Genomic DNA, 16,088 nt, shown 5'->3' on the forward strand with positions numbered 1-16,088 from the left:
AAAGCATCAAATCACAGGATATTTCATAATCTAACTTGGTGTTACACCATTCAGCCACTTCTTCCTATGCCCTGCCCTTAAAGGAAAATGTCCCCACAAAGCTGAGCTCCTCGGCCCTCTGGCTGGTGCTGCCACTGCTCTGCCAGCTCTGGGGTGCACCCAGCTCCCCGACTTGTGTGGCCACTCCTGTACCAACCAGTGGCCAGGAGAGCCAGAGCTCCCGCCAAGGCCAAGGGCAGCTGGTCAGCTTAACGCATCCTTCTGCAGGGCACTCGGGCCTGCATCTCACTGACTGCTGTGTTCTCACACCTCACCCAGTACCTAGCACAGGGTGGGGATCACATGGCTCCCCAGACAGTGCAGCTCCTCGAGGCTCTCTGGTGGTACTGTGTCTACCTGCTGCCTCCACCTCCCAAGACCCCGGCTCTCCATGGGACTCATGGGAGCCCACCCAAGGCAGAGCCAAGAGCCAGTCCCAAGGACAGACGCTGTGGTGGTCCCAGGATCACCCCTGCCCTTCCCACGCCGAGGCCAGGCTCTCAGACTCGCTGTACATGAGAACCACCGGCAAAGCTTAAACATTCCAGCTGCACCCAGACCAGCGCCACCCAGACCAACAGTGCCCAGACCAGCTGCTGCACCTAGATCAGCTGCTGTATCCATACCAGCTGCTATACCCAGACCAGAACCACCCAGACCAGCAGTGCCCAGACCAGCTGCTGCACCTAGATCAGCTGCTGTATCCATACCAGCTGCTATACCCAGACCAGCAGTGCCCAGGCCAGCAGCACCCAGACCAGCTGCTGTACCCAGACCAACTGTGCCCAGATCAGCTGCTGCACCCAGACCAGCTACACCCAGACCAGCTGCACCCAGGTCAGCTGCACCCAGACCAACTGCAGGAGCACCCCAGGGCTGGGCCCCTGCACAAGCATTTTCAAAGCTCCCAGGAGACTCTGCTGTGAGCCAGGTTGAGACCCTCAACCCAAGACATCCTTATTGTGCCAGGCTTAGGATGTCCACTCCTTCTTCAGCTAGTGCCCTCACCTTTGTTGTTCCACAGTCAGGCCACAGTGCCCACAACTGTTTAGATTAAAATGGAGACCACTTCCCTTTACGTTTCACCATGAATCCCTCTCCCCCACAAAAGCTGTAATCCAGCAAACAGGTGGAGAATAGCGTGCTCAAAGACTAAACTAAATGGGAGAGATCAGGTTTAAATTAACATCTGGGATGGCTGAAAGGGAAGGGAAATCACACAGAGGCAGGAGGGGAAGGAGGAAGGCATGGAGAACAGTGGATACGCCCCCACCGGAGGGAGAGGGTGTTGTTTCCATCCACTCCCAGTTCCCTTTACCTGACTGAATGTTGTAACTACAGATTTCCTATGTTGAAACCCTAACCCCCAAGATGAAAGTATTTGGAGGTGGGGCCTTTGGGAGGTGATGAGATCATGAGGGTGGAACCCTCGGAGCCTTTCCACCACTGAGGTCAGAGCAGAAAGATGACCCTCTGCAACTTGGAATAGGGCCCTCCCCAGAACCTGGCCACACTGTGCTGGCACCCTGGCCTCAGACTTGCAGCCTCAATAAATGCCTGTTGTTTATCAGCCACCCAGCCTGATACATTCTTCCAGCAACTCAAACAAACTGAGACATGAAAGCAGTGTTGTCCGTCTGGGGTAGTATCTGAGGTTCATTGCCTCATGCCAAGGAAATCAAGGACATGCACACACAAGGAGTGAGGTTAAGAGCGAAAGTTTAAGAGGCGAAAGAAAGAGAAAAGCACTCTCCTGAAGAGACAGAGGGTCCCAAGTGGGCCTTCTGGTCTGAGGTGAAGTGCACGAGGTTTTATAAATGAGCTCGAGGCAGCACTGTCTGATGTACATAAAGCACAAAAGCTTGGTCGCATCAGGTGTGCCATGTGCATAGCACGCAAAGAACTGGTTAGGACTAGGTGTGCCATTTGCATAGTTCATGAAGAAGCTGGCCACCCCAGTCTTATTTTTTATTTTATTTTATTTTTTTGAGACAATCTCACTCTGTCACCCAGGCTGGAGTACAGTGGGTGCCATCTCAGCTCACTGCAGCCTCCGCCTCCCAGGGTCAAGCGATTCTCCTTCCTCAGCCTCCCAAGTAGCTGGGATTACAGGTGCCACCACCACGCCTGACTAATTTTTGCACTTTTAGTAGAGATGGGTTTTCACCATGTTGGCCAGGCTGGTCTCGAACTCCCTGACCTCATGAACCAACTTCCTCGGTCTCCCAAAGTGCTGGGATTACAGGCATGAGCCACTGCACCTGGTCTGCCACCCTAATCTTTTATTATGCAGGTGGGTTCTCTACCTGGCTGGCGCCATGTTGCCGGCCTCGTTACTGTACAAGTGATGACAAAGGAAAGGGAAGATGGCGCCTCCATGCTGAACATGCCCAGCCCTCAGGTAGCCCTTTTCTGTTGGCCCAGCTGCCGGCATTCACCCATGCAAACTTCCAGCTTGCTTATCTGTGTTTGCAGCTCGATTTTTCAGGCTTCTCTTTGTTAGAAAAGCAATGATTTGGGGACTGCTTCTTTTTAAAAGGGAAACCTTGCCGAGGACTCCTTTACCCTCACTATCTACCTAAATTAATTTCTTTCTAGCTCCTGTATCAGCATCCCCAGGCCTCCCTCCCTTTCACCTGGTCCCTGTCCCGCTCCACCCGGACACTCACAATTGGCACCAATTTCCTTGATTGCAGAGATGCCTGGGAGCCCCAGAGCAACCTGTACCTGGACCCCAAAAACCACAGAACCTAGGAGGGGGAGCAAAGAAACGATTAATTATCAAAAATAAATTGCACACATTAAAATGATGGTCACAGGAGGGCAGAGAAGTCAAGAATTTAGGCTTTACATTTTAAAACCACAGTTTTCTGACTCCAAAACATCTGGTTTTGCAACTGAGGAACATGGGAAAATGCCTAGTCTCTCTCCAGGGAATCCCACATCCAGCTATTTTATTTGTTTCAAAGCATTTTCATCAGATTTTAAAGATGGTTTACTGCCTGAAGATGAAAGGAATGCTTGTCGGAGTAATTTTTCATAGTTCTGCTCTTTCATCTAACTAGATCAAGAAACTAAGCAGGTGTTTAGGAAAACGGCTGCATTTTGTACCTGTGGGAGCTTCAAAAAGCAATGGAGATGCAAAACGGTTCTAAAATTATCCAGACACATTTTGCATCTAGAAATATGTGCATATTCATTTACCTTCAAATTCCTAAAATGATGCCTTCTGAAGTTGCCACAGTTTTCCCTTCTGTTTGCAGTGTTGATGCCTCATCTCCAGAAGGTGGGGAACGTTTTGTTTTGGTTTGGTTTTGGTTTTTTTAGACGGAGTCTCGCTCTGTCACCCAGGCTGGAGTGCAGTGGCGCGATCTCGGCTCACTGCAACCTCTGCCTCCCAGGTTCAAGTGATTCTCCCACCTCAGCCTCCCAAGTAGCTGGGACTACAGGCACATGTCACCACGCCCAGCTAATATGTTGTATTTTTAGTAGAGACGGGGTTTCACCGTTTTAGCCAGGATGGTCTCCATCTCCTGACCTCATGATTGGCCTCCCGCCTTGGCCTCCCAAAGTGCTGGGATTACAGGCATGAGCCATCTGCCTGACCTGGAAGGTGAGGAATGTTCTTTTTGCTGCCCAAAGCAGGCAGGATTCCTGAGACTTACTCATCGGCCAAAAATATTCCTCAACTGCAAATCTCTTAAAGGCCACCTGGATCACCTTAGTCCCAAGCCTCACCCAACTGGACACATCACACAAGCATCTACCAACAGGGTGTCTAGCTTTGGAGTTCTTCCGAACCACAGCAGCAAGCTCATGAATGCCTCCTCAGCACTGAGCAGCTGGGGGGTGTCTGTGCTGAACATCCTGTGTCTCCGTGTCCCATCCAAGCTGTCTGGGGTTGGCCCCTATGAGAAGGGCTCCTCACTCATTAAAAACACGTAAACATGGCAATGTGGGGTGGAGAGTGACAGCCCAGGCCTACGTTGAGGTTTGGTTCCCAAAGCTCATTTTGATTTTGTTTTCTTTCCTAATAGCCATTTGATGGACTGAGAGCTCCTAATGAGAACACAAACTTAGACTAAATAAACTACTAAGTTGAGAACTTGGATCTACAAGCAGGCATATCTTTCTAAACTGTGAATCATTAACTGGGTCTCAGACTGGCCTTGCCAAGTGTACTGCATTTTTGAAGTGGCCTAAATGGGCTTGTTCTGCTCCCATAGATCAGTCCTCATGCTTTCCCAGCAGGAAATTGATTGTGAAAGAAAATCTTCTGACTAGAAAGGAAAAGAAAAATGTGCATCTTTCATCAAATACTAAAAGGTATTTGATGATTCATATTTCAGTTTGAAACTGACTTGCAGATGCGTCTCCTTTTACTTTCACCATTTAACCCATGCAAAATTTGCATCTAAGAATAATAAAGATTGATAAGATCTTGCATTTCAAAGTAGGTTTAAGATACTGGTGTTTCTGCACCCCCCAAAATGAATGATGTTATGAACAATGTGTTAACCCAATTATTTTAAGTGAATAAAAGATATTTGAAAGAAATAGGAAGCATATTTTCCCAAACAGAAGAATTCCTTTGTAATGCAATTAATCAAGTGCTACTTTTAAGTTATTCACCTTATGAATTCGAGTTTTGAAAATCTGATTTTTCTAAAGCAGAATATACCTACCCAGCCTGGTTTGAATTTCCTATCCCCTGCCCCTGATTTCCCTTTGAACAGACGAAACAAAGAAAGTCTGCAACCTTCAATGCGATGGCTTCCCGAAGGAGTTCCAGTTACTCAAGCATTCTCTAAAATCCTATACCAACTCTGCTGTTCAAGGACCTTTTATATAACGTCAACAAGATCTCTAGCTTTTCCTTATCATCATCACCACCATCACCATCACCAGCTCCACCACCATCAAAGTTGTTGCAGAGCCAATATGGGAGCATCAAACTGCAAATCTGGATTGTTCCGGAGCATTTGTTCAATTTTGAGTGAATTAACAGGCCATATTTAACAACATATGCTCATATTACATATTCTCCAGAAATATAAAACAGGCTTAAACCCTCAGTCATCATTTCAGCCCCATATTCTAAAACTGGTCCTTTCTCAGGAGCCGTTCACACGCAGTGCCGAGGACGGCCAGCAGATGGCAGCACCAAGGCTCAGAAAGAGCAGAAACCAAGCGGGAGCTCAAGGAGCGTTCAATGCCCACCGTGATATCGTCAGGACACCTAAGAAAGGCAAATGATGTTCTCTCTTCGTTATTTTCTTTCTAAACACATTTGACAACCCACCTTTTATTAACACGTCTGCATCCTCTGAGACAATGCTTTTGCACCACCACGCTCCTGCAGCGCAAGGTCTCAATCAGGGATTAAGAAAGCTAAGATCCTATATAAAGAATATTTATGGCTTAATTGTCTTGAAAGCTTGGCATGGTAATTGAAGAATTCAAAGGTCAAAAAATCTACTTTGTCTTTCTTATTTTTCAGAAAATCAAGAAGCCAACAACGCCAAGATTGATGGAAATACATTTTCCTTGTCTCTTCCGCACGTTATACTAAGTGGTAATGTCAAACTGCCAGGACTTTCTGATGTTTTCTCTCTAAAGGTGAATATGCCTGAGTGTGCCCCGATAGAGATGCTCACTTATAAGTAAAAGGAAAAGCAGAGAAATCGCAAAATAGGTCATCACAAAGGATAGTAAACATTGGAAAAAATGTTTAACCTCAATAGCAATCAAATCCAAAAAAAAAAAAAACCCACCGAGATGTCATGATTCACTATCAAATTATTGCACATCAAAATGTATTAATAATGAGTCCTACATGAGAGAAAATAAATTGATCCAAACTTTCTGGAGGGAATTGGAGCCAGAGACTCAGGAGCTTTAAAAATATTCATAGTCTTTGACTTATTAGCAACCGTCTTGGGACTCTAACCCAAGAAAAAAATCTAAAATCCAAAATATGGAGTCAAGATTTTTCACTCCAACAGTACGTGTAACAGTAAAACACAGGACACATTCTAAATATTGCAACAGAATAGTAACTCAATTATAAAGTATTTATATGACTGCTTATGTTTAGTCAATAAAATAATGCCCATACATACTTTCAGAGCTAAGCATCTGAAAGGATATAGGCAAGCTGTCTCTACATAGTAGGATTAATGATATTTCATGCTATTCTTTTGCTCATCTATGTTTTTAAGTTTTATGCAACAAACTTGTTTTAGGAGGAAGAAAACCATTAAAAGAGACTTCATTTAAAAAACCAATTTACTGACAGTGTATGAGCAAGTATTTCTAATAAAGTATTAAGTGGATAAAAGGGAGATACAAATTCTATGTACAGTGTGGTCTGAACTATGTGAAACATACACTGTACATAAAAGAGGGAGATAAACTGAAAGAGGTTCTCACTTATGGCTGGGCTCTGGGTAATTTTATTACTTTCTCCATTTTATGTTTTCTACAATGAGCCTACATTACATTTTATATCAGAAAATAATAATTTTAATCAAAATTTGAACTGTGATCCATAATAAAAATTAACTCAAAATAGATCATTCATACTTAAATGTAAAACGTAAAATCATAAAACTTCTTGAAGGAAACATAGAAGAAAGTCTTGGCAACCTTGGGTTAGACAAAGATTACTCAGGACACTAAAAATACAACCCACACAAGAAATTGAAAAACTGGACTTCATCGGAATTTAAAACTTCTGCTTTTTTGAAAGACACTTAGGAATATGAACAGACAAGCCAGGGACTGGAAGGAAATAATTTGCAAAGCACAGAACTGATAAGGACTTGTATTCACTTTATAAAAAGAATCGTCAAAACTTGATCATAAGAAAAACCAATTTAAAAAATGGGCAGAAGGTTCAAACAGACATGTCACCAAAGAGGGTATATTATATGGAGGGCAATGGCGCTCCTGGAAGAGCTCAATACCCCAGTCACCATTTGGGAAAAGCAAATTGAGCCATAATGAAATACTACAACCCATCTCTTAAAATGGCTTTTTTTTTTTTTTTTGGAGTCTCACTCTGTTGCCCAGGCTGGAATGCAGTGGCACGATCTCGGCTCACGGCAATCTCCGCCTCCTGTGTTCAAGCAGTTCTTCTGCCTCAGCCTCCCGAGTAGCTGGGACTACAGGCACATGTCGCCATGCCAGGGTTTTTTTTGGATTTTAGTAGAGACAGGGTTTCACCTTGTTGCCCAGGCTGGTCTCGAACTCCTGAGATCACGCAATCCGCCCGCCTTGGCCTCCCAAAGTGCTGGGATTACAGATGTGAGCCACCGCGCCCGGGCTAAATTATTTTTTAAACCTGGCAATACCAAGTACTGACAGGGATTTAGAGCAGCTTCTGCCACGTTCTGCTGGTGCAAGTGCAAAACGGCACAGGCACCTTGGAAACCGACTGGCGTCTTTTTATAGGTAAACATAAGCTTCCTTACTACCCACAAATTTCACTGCTCCTATTCACCCAAGAAAAATGAAAACTTAGGTCCACACGAAAGCCATATGCAAAGGTTTCTTTCTTATTTCTTATTTCTTTCTTTCTTTTGAGACCGAGTCTCCCTCTGTCACCCAGGCTGGAGTGAAGTGGCACGATCTCGGCTCACTGCAAAATTTGCCTCTCAGGTTCAAGTGATTCTCGTGCTTCAGCAACGCAGGGCTGTTGTCTGAATCTAGGTGTGGATTTTTGGAAACAAGGCCAATTAGGTCACTAATTAATTTCATTCAGTAGCCCAAGCAGAGGTTCCAGTCAATCAGATTTAAAACTTACTTTTAACACATACCTCTGTTCCATTAATTTTCATTTCAGGTCTCCCACATGGAGAAGAAAAGCATGCCTTTAACTTGTTATTTGAGGATCTTTTTAAGGCTTTGTTGCTGCCCTAAGGAAGAAAAGGAATTCTCCTTCTCCTTTATCCCCAGCGTCCCAGGAAGGAGCCGGGGAGTAGAATGACAGCAATATTGGAAATTACTTTCCATCTGAAGTGATTCGGTACAAGCAATGGCCCTTTCTGTGTACAGACAACAGAATATACAGAGCTCTGTGAAAAGATTGAAAGGAATTGCATTTTTTAAAAAATGCTGCTCAATTTTGCATTCTCAGAAAGCCTCTGCTTCCCTAAACTCTGGGTTTCCCTTTTTACTATGCCATTAATGATGAGCTGAAGTACCAATCGCTCTCCCAACAAACTTCCAAGCAACTCTAGCACAGTCGCCTTCTTTTTCTTCAAACTGTGACTTCCAAGGACTTTCACACTTCGCCTGGTGACATGGAACACGCATGCTATACACATAGGGAACAAAGTTTCATGAGAAAACACTTGAGCTGGGCGCAGTGTTTTCCGCTAGTTTTCATGCTGTTCTATACAGCACGTTTCATTTATCAATTTGCTGGTCGAGACCCTCTAAAAATTCGATCCCTCACAAAGAAGTAGAGTGACCGATGATGTGAAAAACACAACCCGGTGAGCCCGGCCGCACGACGCTTCACAGGAAAACACAACCCGGTGAGCCCGGCCGCACAACGCTTCAGAGCCTCATTACCGGCTGTGGCTCGCTGAGGCCACGGGCTTCCGGCAGCCAGTGGTAGCCGGCGGCTCTCCTGACCGCACTGCTACTTCGCATTATTCTGTTCATGGCCTTCAGTGTGATTCAAACCGCTGTTTCTTTAAAATAAAAAATAATCTGGCTGGGCGCGGTGGCTCATGCCTATAATTCCAGCACTTTGGGAGTCTGAGGCAGGTGGATCACCTGAGGTCAGGAGTTCGAGACTAGCCTGGCCAACATGTTGAAACCCCATCTCTACTAAAAATACAAAACATTAGCTGAGGAGGCTACTTGGGAGGCTGAGGCAGGAGAATCGCTTGCACCCGGGAGGAGGAGGTTGCAGTGAGCCGAGATCACACCATTGCACTCCAGCCTGAGCAACAAGAGTGAAACTCCGTCTCAAAAAAAAAATCTTATTTTTCTCATCATTAGACCAAAAAAAAAAAAAAAACCTGCAACTAGGTCAAATCAAATCAAGTAGGAATTCATCAAGGGGATGGGTTTTGTAAGTTTCCACTGACTGCACAGAGCAGGTCTGGGCTCCCCTGCACTTCCTCCCTTCTGTCTGGGAAGCCCCAGGTGAGGCTGCGCTCGGGTGGCTTGAGTCTCCCGGCCCCTGGGAGAGTTGCCCCCAAGGCTCAAGTCTGGAAGCAGCCCTCCAGGATGCCCACGCTGGTGCTCCACACTCGGGAACCCCCAGGAGCTCCACGGACTCAATTCTCAGGCAATGGTGATTTCAAAATTCCCCAAGTTGAGGCTTTCCTTGACTGACAGAGGCACGTTCTTGCTGCCTCCTGGCACTTCCTGCTTCCTGGGGGAGGGAAATACATGTCCTCCTGCCCTCCACTCTCCAGAGACCACCCCTGGTGATTTGGATGTTTTCTGAGGGACACCTTTAAAGTGTGGGTTAAAATTCCAGTAGCTGTCTCTCTTCTACCTTCTTTTGAAGACGTTATCTCCCAGCTTGTTTCTTCGCATTCAAGCAGGGCACGTGGCCTGCAGCCTCGGCCTGTTAACAGCATGGAATTGTGACGACGGTGTCCAGGGCAGACTGAGAGGGAGGGCGTGCCTGACACTGCCCAGGGACCGTCTGCTTCTCTCGTTCTGTGGCAGAGCTTCCCAGATCATGGGAGACATTCACGCCACTGTTGGGGCACCCCTAGATAAACAGGAACCCCAGCCAGGAAATTGCTCACTATGGCTTGTGAGTTCCCGGGAGCTCTGTGCTCCAAACGTCAGCTGAGCTGACAGCAGGAAAGGAAGGAGCTGGAGAAGCATCAGCCACCCAGGCCATCGTGCGCCCAGGAGGGAAAATGTGGAAAGGTCCTGGGTGTGCAGTAACACAGGACACCAGCGAAACATAAGGGGCATCCAACGGGAATCCACCCCAGTCTTGTCACTGCAGCGGTGGGAAACTCATACGCATGCACTAGATTCATCTCCTGGTGATAGCTCCGCAGGTAAGGAAAAGAAAATACCACCACAGTTTTTCAAAATGCAGAACAATGTCATCAAATAAACGAACTGGATGGAATTCCTACTTTGCTCGTGGGAGCCAGAATCTTCCTCTGTGTATACTTGATCTTAACTCAGAAACATTAGCCAAAGGCAGCTGTCCCCTTGGGGGCACCCTGGCTTCTCAGCCCGCCCACTCAAGGTCACCCTGACTCCTCTAGGAACCCCTCCACCCACCCCAGAATCATGCTGCCGTCCAAATACTGCAAGGGAGGAGGGAGAGGGTTGACATCTTGGTGTTCCGACGGAGGGCCAGGGTGTGAGTGTCAGTGTCGGGCTGAGCTGTATCTGGCCTCTTTGGACCTACAAAAAGGAAAAATTAATTTCTCATGTTTTGAGGTAGCCTGAATAGCGGGCCCTGGCCCCTGCCCAAGATGTTCGCCTCCTAATCCCCAGAACCTGTGAATATGTCACCTTACATGGCAGAAGGGACGTGGCAACGTGACTGAATGAAGCATCTGGGTATGGGCAGATCATCCCGGGTGGTCTCGGAGGACCTTTTAGGAGAGGGGCAGGCGTCAGTGCTGGGAGCTCTGAGGATGGAGGTGAGAGGGTGGAGTGATGCGAGGAGGGGTTCGGGGCCTCAGGAGCGCAGGCAGCCTCCAGGAAGGCCTGCCAACACCTTCACCGTAGACTTCTGGCCTCCAGAGCTGTAAGGGAATGAGCCTGTGTTGTTTAAGCCAGTGCACTGTGGTGACTTGTTACTGCAGGGGAGGGAAACTCATATGAGTGCGCCAGATTCATCGCCAAAAGGAGGCTCAATTTTCCACCCTTCTCTCGGATCCATGCCCCTGCTCCCCATCCCTTAAATGTGGCTGGTTTCTGTGACTGGTGGTCAGGACAGCAAGCTAGTTCTGAGCCGAGGCCTCTGGAGACCTGGGAGCCTCGAATTACCCCTTGGCACCAGCCTCTGCCCCTGGAATCACCCCATGGCACCCGCCTCTGCTACTGGAGAAAGAGAGCCTGGCATTGCAGCTCAGGCCACATGGGCCGGCCAGCTGTCTAAGCTTTTTCCTTTCCCCCATATCAGACTTTGGAAGTTAAACCCAATATTTATACTTACTTACCAATGGCTCTCCGGTAAATATTCCTGGAAGTCAGGGTGCAATCAAAATAAGTAGTCAGGTTCAATAAGGGAAGGGAAATTGTTATTTTCTAAAAGCTTTCAAAAGGCCAAGTGCTTTCACTTAAGATCCCACTTAATTCACAAGAGAATTTTGATGTCCATTTCAGAGGTTAGAATAAAAACTTGTGACAATGAATGGAAACAATACTATAAAGCTTCTTTAAAGAAAACAGTGCAGTGTTGATACGTGAATAGACAAACTGAAGAGAGGAATTGACTAGAGGGTCCTGAAATGACCAAAACACGTGGAAAATCAGTGTCCGGCAGAAGCGGCATCTCACACCACTGGGGTAGGGACAAGTGTTTTAATCAATTGACTGAACAGTTGGTGGCCTTTGAGAAAAAGATAAAATTAAATCCATATGTCACACCAAACATAAAGATAAACTCCCAGTGGATCAGGGATCTAAATATTTAAAAATAAAATAATAAAAGTACTAGAAGAAAATATGGTTAAATTCCTATTCAACCTCCACATTGAGTCTTTCTAACTATAACCCCAAATCCAGAGGCAATTAAAAGAGAATAATAAATTTGACTACATAAAAATAAAATAAAGCTGTGTGGCAAAATATCATAAATGAAACAAAAAAGCCTGATAAATTGGGAGAAAATATTTGTAACGTATATCACGGATGAAGGACTCATGTCTCCAATCTATAAAGACGTCTTTAAAATTGAAAGAAAAGAACCAAAAAAAAAGAGAAAAATTGGCCAGGTGCGGTGGCTCACGCCTTTAATCCCAGTACTTTGGAAGGCTGAGGCAGGCAGATCACGAGGTCAAGAGATGGAGACCATCCTGGCCAACACGGTGAAATCCTGTCTCTACTAAAAATACAAAATTTAGCCAGGCGTGGTGGTAGGTGCCTGTAATCCCAGCTACTTGGGAGGCTGAGGCAGGAGAATCACTTCAACCCAGGAGGTGGAGGTTGCAGTGAGCTGAGATCATGCCATTGCACTCCGGCCTGGGCAAAAAGAGTGAAACTGTCTCAAGAAAAAAAAAGAAAGAAACATTTAGAAAATATATGAACAGATAATTCACAAAAGAGATGTCAAAATGATCCTCGCCATACAAAAAATGTTCTACCTCACTCACGACTAGAAATATGTAAATTGAAACCACACGGAGATAGCATTTCTTGCCTATCAGATTAGCAAAAATCAGTATGAAAATCCCTTCTTCCTCTTCTTCTTCTTCTTCTTCTTTTTTTTTGTCACCCAGGCTGGAGTGCAGTGGCACAATCTCGGTTCACTGAAACCTCTGCCTCCTGGGTTCAAGCAATTTTCCTGCCTCAACCTCCCAAGTAGTGGGGATTACAGGTGCACACCACCACGCCTGGCTAATTTTTGTATTTTTAGTAGAGACAGGGTTTCTCCATGTTGGCCAGGCTGGTCTCAAACTCCTGACCTCAAGTGATCCGCCCGCCTTGGCCTCCCAAAGTGCTGGGATTACAGATGTGAGCCACTGCGCCTGGCTGGCAACGCCTTCTTCTGATGAGGCCATGGGGAATCAGCACCCTCCCACACTGCTGGTGGGAGTGAAAGCTGGCACAGCTCTGGGAGGCAATTCGCAACACCTAACAAAATGAGATCTGCACTTATTTAGAGTCACCTACTCCTAGGATCCCACTCTAAAAACATACCTCCGACAGCATGAAACTACATACACGTGAGATTACTCACTGCGGCACTGATCGTCATCAGAATATTGTGGGAATAATCGAAACGGCCATATGTAGGACAGGAGTTGAGTAAACTGTGGTGTCTCTACAGGATGAGGTCGCTTTCACGTAAGAAGGAGAAGAAAACATACCGTGCTCTCTGTTCATCTGCTGTTTAGTTCCGACTTTTAGAACCAAGCTAACCATTCCAGGTAAATGAAATAAATAAATAAGCCGGAAGGACCCACGTGGAATACAAACAGAAACTAACCGACCCAACTGTATTAGAAAGAGATGCCAGAGGCTGGGCACGGTGGCTCATGCCTGTGATTCCAGCACTTTGAGAGGCCGAGGCAGGTGGATCACAAGGTCAGGAGATCGAGACCATCCTGGCTAACACAGTGAAACCCCGTCTCTACTAAAAATACAAAAAATTAGCCGGGCGTGGTGGCGGGCACCTGTAGTCCCAGCTACTCGGGAGGCTGAGGCAGAAGAATGGTGTGAACCCGGGAGGCGGAGCTTGCACTGAGCTGAGATCGCGCCACTGCACTCCAGCCTGGGTGACAGACAGAGGGAGACTCCGTCTCAAAAAAAAAAAAAAGAAAAAAGAAATAGATGCCAGAGGCCAGGTGCAGTGGCTCACGCCTGTGATCCCAGCACTTTGGGAGGCCGAGGCAGGCAGGTCATGAGGTCAAGAGATCAAGACCATCCTGGCCAACATGGTGAAACCCCTTTTTTACTAAAAATACAAAAATTAGCCAGATATGGTGGCATGCACCTGTAGTCCCAGCTACTCGGGAGGCTGAGGCAGGAGAGTCACTTGAACCCAGGAGGCGGAGGTTGCAATGAGCCGAGATCACGCCACTGTACTCCAGCTGGGCAACAGAGCAAGACTCCGTCTCAAAAAAAAAAAAAAAAAAGAAATGACATAGCCACACTGAAGGGGAGTGAGCAAGAGAAGAACCAGCCTAGGTACGTTTGGGAAATAGCATTTTTACCAGATTCTCTAAAACTCGAAGGGTTTTCCAATGGCCAAATCTGTGACATTTTGAACATCATAAGTAATGATTATAATGAATTATAATTCATAGAATAAAATGGAAAATCAGGATTCCATCTGGCATAAAGAAAGAATTGAATGCTTAAATAAATGGGAAATAGCGAAAGCTCTTCCTTGCAGTAGCATCACAAGTAATACATGCAGAATTATGAAGTTGTACAGTCATCATTTGGCACCCATCATCATAATAATTCAGCAAGAACCATCAATGGATGCTAAGCTTGTGGGGGAAGTTTGATTAGGAACAGCATATTCACACAGCCTCGAAGTATCTCTCCATACGTAGATACATATTACACAGGGAAAAGGGAATTCCCAGTGGAAAGACCTGGCAGACACCCTATTGACCGAGTGAGAAGAGTTACCATCAGCAGGAACAGGACAAACCGACTGAGGCACAGAGAAGCATCCCTCCTGGGGTTTCCTGCCCAAAATGCATAGCGAAGCCCTCAGACAAACTGAGCAACACTCTGCAAAATAACTGGCTAGCGCTCTTCGAAAGTGACAAGGTCGTCACGAAGTGACAAGGTCATAATAAAATGAAGACTGAGGATCTGTTCCAGATTAAGTAAAAATTAAGAAACATGACAACTGGCCAGGCGTGGGGACTCACGCCTGTAATCCCAGCACTTTGGGAGGCCAAGGCGGGCGGATCATGAGGTCAGGAGATTGAGACTATCCTGGCTAACACAGTGAAACCCTGTCTCTACTGAAAATACAAAAAAATTAGTTGGGCGTGTTGGCAGGCACCACCAGTCCCAGCTACTTGGGAGGCTGAGGCAGCAGAATGGCATGAACCTGGGAGAGCTTGCAGTGAGCTGAGATTGCGCCACTGCACTCCAGCCTGGGCCTCCGTCTCAAAAAAAAAAAAAAAAAAAAAAAAAAAAAAAGGAGAAAGAAAAAGAAAGAAACATGACAACTAAATGCAACATGTGATCCTGAATTCGATCCTGGACCAGAAAAATGCAGATTCGTGGCCCTGACCCAAGACCTCCTGAATCAGAACATCTCATGTTAAGGCCCAGGAATCTGAATTCTAATTGGCACCATGTGACTCTTCAGTGCACTAAAGTTGAGAACGATATGGCTGTGATCTTATCACATGACAGGCATGACTCAAACGATCCAGCAAACATATCCAGGACATTTACAAATGGCGAAAGGTGTTGTGAGGGAAAGGTGGAGGGAATGATGACCTCAGACCACACAAAACACAGATGGGATCAGATGGGAACAGGGGAAGGCTTGGGGAAAGTCTCCCTGAGGAAGTGGCCTTTGAAATGAGACCTGGGAAACAGATGGGTCGAGGAGACACAGAGATGGGGAAGAGCGGCCAAGACGGAGAGAATCGCTGATGGAGAAATCCTAAAAAGGAAGGGGACGTGGAGATTTGGAGGAATTGATGTTAACCGAGGATACCAAAATTGCAACCCAGCCTTACTCAGCTCATGAAGGTGACAAGTGTGGCTCTCGAGGAGTTTCACAAGCACCTGGTGGGCTTCCCGGCCCTTGAACTCAAGGCCTTGTCTTCACACTGAGAAACTGCAGAAAATTCCACGATGAGATTCAAACACGATTAGTTTAGCGTTTTCTCTTCCTGCCTGGCATAGCCTCAACATTCAGCATATGTCTTCAGCGGGGAGCAGGCCGAGTGTTTGAGACCCATCAAGTCGCCCTAATCCCATGTGGCTGCTGACACCATGCTGTCCCCCATCCCCAGCAGCAGCCCTGTCCAGCCTGAACTCACATTTGCTCCCCAGAGCCCTGCCCTGCACCCTCGGCCCCTTGGGTTCACATCACTCCCGTGGCCCTCGGAAGCTTTGAGAGAGATTACAGTGGAATCGTATGCACTCACTCAAGCTATGTTATAAGGAGTGGTTTATAAAGTCATATAAAAGATATTATCACGTTAAATGAAAAAATATACAAACTTACTTATAAAATATTATTATAGTTTATTTTTAAATTAATAGCACTATAAATTCTCCCGTAAGGACACCCTCCCTTAACCAGTCAAACATCAAAAGAGACTAGCCAGGGCTTGCTACTCCATCCACTCCGCAATGCTCTGCAACCTGGCCAGCTCTGCTTCAGCCCCTGTAGG

The 16,088-nt window shown here is 46.3% G+C and overlaps 2 annotated features.

Annotated features, from left to right (window-relative positions):
* Positions 560 to 1,306: an enhancer, noted in NCBI's record as "H3K4me1 hESC enhancer chr7:155386984-155387730 (GRCh37/hg19 assembly coordinates)". NCBI's record gives its function as "activates a minimal SCP1, AML or CMV promoter by ChIP-STARR-seq in naive H9 embryonic stem cells {active_cell/tissue: H9 hESC(naive)}" and the evidence as "EXISTENCE:reporter gene assay evidence [ECO:0000049][PMID:30033119]".
* Positions 5,085 to 5,379: a silencer, noted in NCBI's record as "tiled region #10004; HepG2 Repressive DNase matched - State 4:PromP". NCBI's record gives its function as "represses a minimal TATA promoter and a strong SV40 promoter by Sharpr-MPRA in HepG2 cells {active_cell/tissue: HepG2}" and the evidence as "EXISTENCE:reporter gene assay evidence [ECO:0000049][PMID:27701403]".

The sequence above is a fragment of the Homo sapiens genome, chromosome 7 (genome assembly GCF_000001405.40).
Source record: "Homo sapiens chromosome 7, GRCh38.p14 Primary Assembly".
Classification (NCBI taxonomy): domain Eukaryota; kingdom Metazoa; phylum Chordata; class Mammalia; order Primates; family Hominidae; genus Homo; species Homo sapiens.